Source organism: Homo sapiens, chromosome 3 (genome assembly GCF_000001405.40).
Source record: "Homo sapiens chromosome 3, GRCh38.p14 Primary Assembly".
NCBI lineage: Eukaryota > Metazoa > Chordata > Mammalia > Primates > Hominidae > Homo > Homo sapiens.
In genome coordinates, this window is record NC_000003.12 from 162,014,301 (window position 1) to 162,021,820 (window position 7,520).

General features: G+C 36.2%; 2 annotated features.

The window, feature by feature from the left end:
• Positions 6,917-7,086: an enhancer, noted in NCBI's record as "experimental_65864 CRE fragment used in MPRA reporter constructs". NCBI's record gives its function as "activates a minimal promoter by MPRAs in K562 erythroleukemia cells, with activity observed for the introgressed 3:161739090 or rs9822058 variant allele {active_cell/tissue: K562}" and the evidence as "EXISTENCE:reporter gene assay evidence [ECO:0000049][PMID:34662402]".
• Position 7,002: a transcriptional cis regulatory region, noted in NCBI's record as "Neanderthal adaptively introgressed variant 3:161739090 (GRCh37/hg19 assembly coordinates) or rs9822058 in the experimental_65864 CRE". NCBI's record gives its function as "modulates activity of the experimental_65864 enhancer by MPRAs in K562 erythroleukemia cells {active_cell/tissue: K562}" and the evidence as "EXISTENCE:reporter gene assay evidence [ECO:0000049][PMID:34662402]".

The window sequence follows — 7,520 nt, forward strand, 5'->3', positions numbered from 1 at the left end:
TGGAGTTACGCCTCAGTGAAAAAATGAATACATTAACTCAGAATTCAACTAAAATGAGCCAATTCAAAGATTCTAGCTTGGGTAAATAAATTCACCAGTTATTATGCATTACATGCAAACACTGCTCCTTTTCCGGGGAAGTTTCTTTCAGTCGATTCATTTCTACTTACCACGGTGTTAGCGTCAATTGTCCAAAGATGTGTTTCCTATTTCCCTCAAGGCATATGTTATATTGATGAATCAGCAGGAGATCAACATTAGAAAATGTAATGCAGTTTCTCAATAGGCACCATTACTTGAGTCAATTCCAAGAACATTAGCTCTGGCCATATATAAATGTAATTTTAAAAATCCAAACATTGAATTTAAATTACTTTTGAATTATCTACCATTTTGGTTTATCTAATCTCCATTTGTTAGATAATTCAGAGTTGGCATTTTGTATTCATGATTATTGCTTGAGTACATGACTGAGATTATATTTAAATGCAATCATTTACTGGAAACAAAATTAAGTGCTACACTTTTCTTGTCCACTGTGATGAACAAACTTTAATTCTCACTGATTTGTAAGTTATTACATAACCACAGCATTTATATATTGTCAGAAAGCAATCTCAAAAATAATCTATGAAGAACAATGCACAAAATGAAGAGATTACGAGCTCATGAGATTTTAGTCTAGGCCTTCCTTATTAAACTATTTAAAGTCCTTCTACTAGGGTTGTATAATAAGCCCTCAATGTTGTCAATAGATTCTTGGAAATTTCAGCTAAGTGAAATGATGTACAGCAGGTCATCAAATAACATTTTTCCCTTCAATTTTGTTTTGTTTTAAAGTTGATGAGAAAAAATGGCTTTTGCATACACCATTTCACTTAAAATTATAGTTTCCAAGAATCTACTGACAATGTCAAGTGAGGACTTAATGCATATATTTTAAACAACTTTTCACTATCTTATTTTTGGAAAGGAATATTGCTGATCAGTCTACAAGGTTATGAATTTACTCTGTAGACATATCAGCTTATTAATCAAGTAAAGTTTTGGTTGGATTTAGCATGTAATCAATGGCTCGTACATAATGGTAAGTCACTGTTTCCCAAAACAAAGTTTCAATGCTACAGTTTGTTACACCTCAAAATTCTTCTCATAACTTTTTAGGCTTTTTCTATTCATTACATAGTATGAGATAATAAAAGAATGAGTTGTTTATACATTGATACTGATGAAAAGAAATAGATTGTGCTTTTGTGTTTCAGGTGCTCTGTCTTGTCTTACTCCCAAATGAAAAAGAGAAAGGAGGACTGGGAGATGGGAGCTCTAACTTCTTTCAGCCACTCTCTGTGTAGCATGAGGAAGTCATAGACATTCCTGGGGTTCATTTGTAAAATAAGAGTATTCAACTAGATTTTTAAAATGAGTTTCTGTTCAATAATAAGATATGGGTTTTCTTTCATGAAGGGCTAAAACTCTCCAGTCTTTTGCAATGTTTGGACCTCATATTATTTTCTTCTTCCTCCTTGTCTCACTTCCTTGGCCTCATACTGTGTGATACCCTTTACACAGAAAGAGTCAGGAGCTCAGGCACTTAACTGTCTTTAGTGTCTATCCTGGTCCTCCCAAAGAAGCTACATACTGCTAGTCTTCCTAAGTATACTTACTTGTCTGTTTAACCAAAGGATTAAAAGCTTACTGAGGAAAAGAATCATCTTGTACTTTAATACATCCAAAGAACCCATCATTTTTTCCTGGCAAATAGGTGCTCTAAAACATTTGTTGAATAATGAAAATGTGTCCAAGTTTCCTGTGTCTTTAATCTTCTTTGTGTGACACTTTGCTTTGCCAAGAGTGTAAATCTTTGCTCAACTGTAACATTATTCTAGCTTATTAAAGGGGAAGAACTTCCTTATTGTAAATGCATTGCTAGGAGCTATGTAAATGCATGGCTTGGGACTAAAAGCCACAGTGGTATCAATATCCAGGATATTTGCGTGATGCCAGTAAACAAAGGGAAAACTCTACGGAGAAAAACGAATCCAAGTCAGCTCTCTTTAGAGACTTTTTCTGTCTTGATATATACAATGTAAAAACACTGAATGTTACCTGTAGGGACAGAGACCTTTTTCTCCAATATATCTAACAGCTACAAAACTGTCTACAACTATAGGATAGAATATTACATATTCTTCAGTCTAGTTGACTTACTATTATTATTGATATGTGATTATTAAGTTATTTAAAACAAGTAACTGAGAAAAGATTTTTAAAACATAAATAGTAAACACTGGGAAACAGCAACAACAAAATCTCAGGAATCACTGACCTTTCACTTTACATATTGAAAATAGAAGCTAGGGTGATTTGAGACTTACCCAGTCTCATAGTTTATCACATAACTGGGCCTCTTGACTCTATTTCCATCTTGTTAATTTCACATTATGGAACCTAACATACTTTTGTGTGCTTCTGTGATATTACAAAGATTTTTTCCTGTGGAATATTATTTCTGTTGTCACAATGAAAGTCATAGGGAATAATTTTACTTATAAAATTAGGTTTATTTACTACTTACACAGACTGACTGTGATCCTGTAAAGTAAAATGTATTTACATGTATTTTTCCAACTCTAAATGGGTCATCCTATTTGGCTCCTCTTTTAGGATTTGTCATGTATTTTTGCAAAGAACATTCAGAAAGAGAGTGATCTTCATTTGTTAAGTGGCTGATATGGTTTGGCTCTATGTCCCCACCTGTATCTCACCTTGAATTGTAGTAATCCATAAGTGTAAGGGTGAGACCAGGTAGAGGTAACTGAATGATGGGGGCAGTTTCCCCCATGTTGTTTTTGTGATAATGAGTGAGTCACACAATATCTGATGGTTTTATAAGTGTCTAGCATTTCCCCTGCTTGCTCTCATTCTCTCTCCTGCAGCCCTGTGAAGAGGTGCCTTCTGCCATAATTATAAGTTTCCTGAGGCCTCCCCAGCCATGTGGAACTGTGAGTTAATTAAACCTCTTTTCTGTATAAATTACCCAGTATCAAGTATTTCTTCATAGCAGCATGAGAACGGACTAATACAGTGGCTCTTGCAGCCATAGTGATACGTGGTAATCAACCTTTGTCTCCTTAACTAAACATCTGAATTCAAGGAACCAGGTGCAAATCCCTAGTGTGACATTCTGCAATGAATTCTGTGGCTCTGGTGCCAACACAAAAGCCTAGCTGGGCAGCAGTAAGAAGAAAACTGCAAATCAGAGCCACGTCCTTTCTATTTTTTTTTTTAATAACTCACTCCAATGAACCTATTGTCCCCGGGGTATTTCCAATTCCTCAATAGTTCAGCTTGCCACCTTTACCTTCATTTTAGTCTTCTTAGAATTTCACTTGATTAAATAATTGACAATATTTATCAGACAATGGGATGATCATTCTTGTCATAAATGTATCATCTTCATTTTCCAATTAGAGCTATGATTGTGATTTCCAGGCAGAAACATAAATTATGAATGTAATGTTGAAGTAAATAAACATAAAATAATTTATTTGACACATTTTTATAATAATTATATGGCATGTTTCTTTTTAGCTGTGTCCTCATGACTTCCCGAAGGCTCCACCTCCAAATACCATCACATTATTGGGGGACACAAATATTCAGTCCATAGCAATATTAGTTAAAATGCCTTACTGGAATTCGACTTGACTTCTCTGGCTCCTCCTGAGGAGAAAAGACAGGTCTAAGTGTAGATGAAACACCATCCAAGAAAATGTGCTTTGCTTCTTCTCCCTTTATAAGGGCCTCATATTAAGAGATTGTGTGCTAAGTTAGATTAACCACGTGTGAAGCCAAATTGGAATAGGCTGCTTTGAAATCACTGAAGCCAGTCCATTAGCCAGTCTACATTTGTGTTTGCCTTATGTGATGAATTTCATTGATGTGAGTTTATACTAATGGCTAATTGACAGTTCAAATAAGCAGGGTCAGATTAGAATTGAGATGTGAAGTGCAGATTAATGTTTGTCAAATTTGGGGGGTCATAGGAGCCCCTGTAAAACTTGCTAACACAAATTACTGGTCCTAAGAGTTTTTGATTTAGTCGATCTGGGCTAAGGCCCCAGAATTTGCATTTCTAGTAAGATCTCAAATGATGCTGATGTTGTTTTCTATGGACCATAGTATGAGTAGCACTGGCCTAAATAGCTTACAAAGGTTGCTGTGATACTAGCAGTTTTTGTCTAAGGAGATCAGAGAACACACGTCCCTCATTATGGTCTACGTGCTATGTCCCAGAGAATCACTTGTCTTCTTTTTCACAGTTATCTGTTCTCTATACTGTTTAGCATTCCTCTTTAGAAAGGATTTTGTCTGAGATTTTATTATTGCAATCTTTAATTAGCTCTCAGATATGCTCTGGATTACCACATAGAGGATTTGTGTCCTCACAGGTACACAGAGTACTGAAGAATAATTATTAAAGTACAGGCTGCTCGTGTTTACTTACACTTAGAAATTCTAGGATTTTCTGTTAAGGAGGCTTGTATTCCTTGTATGATACTTTAGCATAGCACCTGGCCTCATCCCTGGGACACAGTAGGTCCTTAAAAAACATCACTGTCAAATGAGAGGTGGTATGACTGAACAAACAGTTTTAGCATCATGATTAAACTGCTTTTAGACCTTTTCCACACTGATGGGGCAGAAAGAATGCTTTCTCATCTACTAAGACAAATTTTGTGCACTCGCTTGCTAAATGGTACTATACTATTGCTTTAGTAAAGTTGAATATGGCTTAGGGAGCTCTATCTGGGTGGGGAGTATATTTCTGACATATACTCAGAAGCAAATTATGGTTGGCAAAGTGGTAAAAATGCTTTTTCCTATTAGCCTAGCCCTGTCAAAGAGTTTGAATTAGGCCATTTTTCAAATTTAAGAATGTATTATATTCTCATTCTACATTTCTTTTGAACTTTCTGCAAATGCTTTATAAGCATTATCTTGTTTTTCCTTACAACACCACTCAGAGGTGTGTGACCAAGTAGTGTTATCCTCATTGTACAGGCACGTAGAAGTTAATTGACTTTCTTTGGGTCATAGAGAAGCAGGGAGAGCCAGCAATAAAAGAAACATTAGCCTGCTTCCTTAGAGCGTGAGCACAGTGGCTGCTGCAGAACTCCTAACCCTGCCCTTTCACCACTTAACAAAGAATATCCTTATCCAGGAGATTACCTGTGTGAAATGAGGCTTCTTGAGAAATGTTTGCATGGATTACTGTAGGCCCAACTTGGGCTCAAGTAGAAACATTCTGCTTGTGATTTCATAAAACATTTAAAAGCACATTTTAGAGTTAAAAAGAGATTTAGATAATCCAAATCACCAAGTAGTTACTGAAAACTTTCTATGATTTTGGTATAAAATTTTGTGTGTACCCTCTTAGGCACCTAGGCTAACACACAAAACCTCATTTCTTTTATAGTGTGCCCCAAATATCGTTGGGAGGCAGTCTGCTATGAGCCTCTTGTGCTTCTACGTGTCTTGCTACATATGCCAAAATCCCCAGATCCTGATCATTCTTTCACCCTGGCCACTTATCTAAATTGTTTATGCAGCTGACAGTTCTGCAAAGTGAAATAATGCCTCATAGGATTGAATTGCATTGTCCTGCAAAGTATTCAGTCTCTCTTTGGACAAAGAACAGGCCTGTTTACTGCTTGCTATAAAAGTGGCAGTTTTCTTAAGCTTGAAGTTTACAGCTGCAGTTCAACCCTTTGTTTGTGTAGCCATCTGGGCCCATGGTATTGCCTCATGGACTTTGGGGCATGGGGAACCATCAGAGATATGCTGATATGCTTGCTATTGCTTTTGCTGTGCTGAATAACTGATCCAGAAGTCTCATGTCTTCTGTCAAACAGTCATGGATCTGTGACAAACTAGTTTGTGTGTTCATTCCAGTGGAAATTCTACTGCTTCTAGCTCTCTTCCCCACTGTGAAACATATTTAAGTAAGGCAAAATCCCCATAGCTATACTTAGTTTCTTTCCAATAGACCCTTCCAAAACTTTAGGTTGTTTTATGGAATAAAATGTGGATGATGTGGATTTCAGCCACATTATGATGTTCAATGAATTAAATAATTCTTTAGAAGGATAAAATCGACATAAAATGAAATTATCAGAAGTGCAAGAGATTTGGCCCAGGAACTATGAAGACATATTTTCTGCCTCTCATGTCATTATTATTTTGTGTCTTGTAGAAGCAGTATTAGGGCTTCTGTGTCTCAGGCAGTATCACAAATGCAAATTTCCATGGTTGATAGCAGCTGAAGATGAACTCAGGACTGGGCTAAGGTAATACGGGCCAGACCAACAACAGCATTTGCTACAGTAAGACACAGTTGTAAGGTATCACTCTTTAGCTGTTGTCAGTGTTGTTGTGAGTTGCCTGAAAACAAGAGCTATGTGGTATTTATCTGTTTCTCTGCATCACCAGCCACAACGCCTTCAACTTAGAGGTGTTATTAAGCACCTGTCAAATAAATGAAACCAAATGCCTTATTGGTGGAGGATATATGTTATAGTCTGGAATAAATCTGCTTGGGTTCAAATCTTAACTCTGCCACTTAAAACTGCATACTTGGTCAATTTCTTTAATCTCTTGGTGTCCTTATCTATAAAGATGGCATAATAATATTACCTATCTCACGGAGTTGTGAAACTTAGTACTCAGCAAATACTTAATAGTTGTCAGTTGTTCTTGGCACAAAAACATTAGAACTGCATAGAACTCCAGTTCTAAAACATTCAAGAAAGAAAACTGCTCTTGATGATTTGTTCTAAATTGTTTATAGTAATTGTTGGTCCAAATATGATTTACATTGTAGTAAATTACAGCCATATTTTAAATCTTAAACCTCAATTCATTGTAGACCGTAAAACTCACCTTGTGCTTAGTTATTTTAAACGTGGATACATACTCTCTTGAGAGCTGGATGAAATTGTAATATTAAGCTAGATTTTCATCTCATAATTGTTACTCATCCTTTGGCAACATAAAAGTCTTCCCACTCTTTCATGTAAACATTTCCCCCACATTCACCACCTTGCACAAAGCATAGCTAATTCTGAGTCAAAATCAACACAGGCTGTCAATTCAGTATGCATAACATCTGGTTGCTTCCACATTTACCATTTGTCGTGGTGAAAGTTGTGTATTTCATGTAGAAAACCTGTCGTTGGGTCCTTTAAATCCTCTACAGTCCTCCTTCTTGAGGAGAAGGTTCCCAGACTCCTCTTATTGTTACTTAAATTTTGAGGTCTTCTAAAGAAAACTTTACTCCTAGATTGAGACTGTCTTCTTACCCATCTTATAGTTGTTTCAATTTACAACACTCTTGAAAAGCATATCTTGCGATGATATCTACAATCAACACAGATAATGTTGTATTACTGAAATTGCTGGAAATCCATTATGCCCTATATATGGAGTAAATGAGCAGCAAATCTACACAGCTGCTGCTA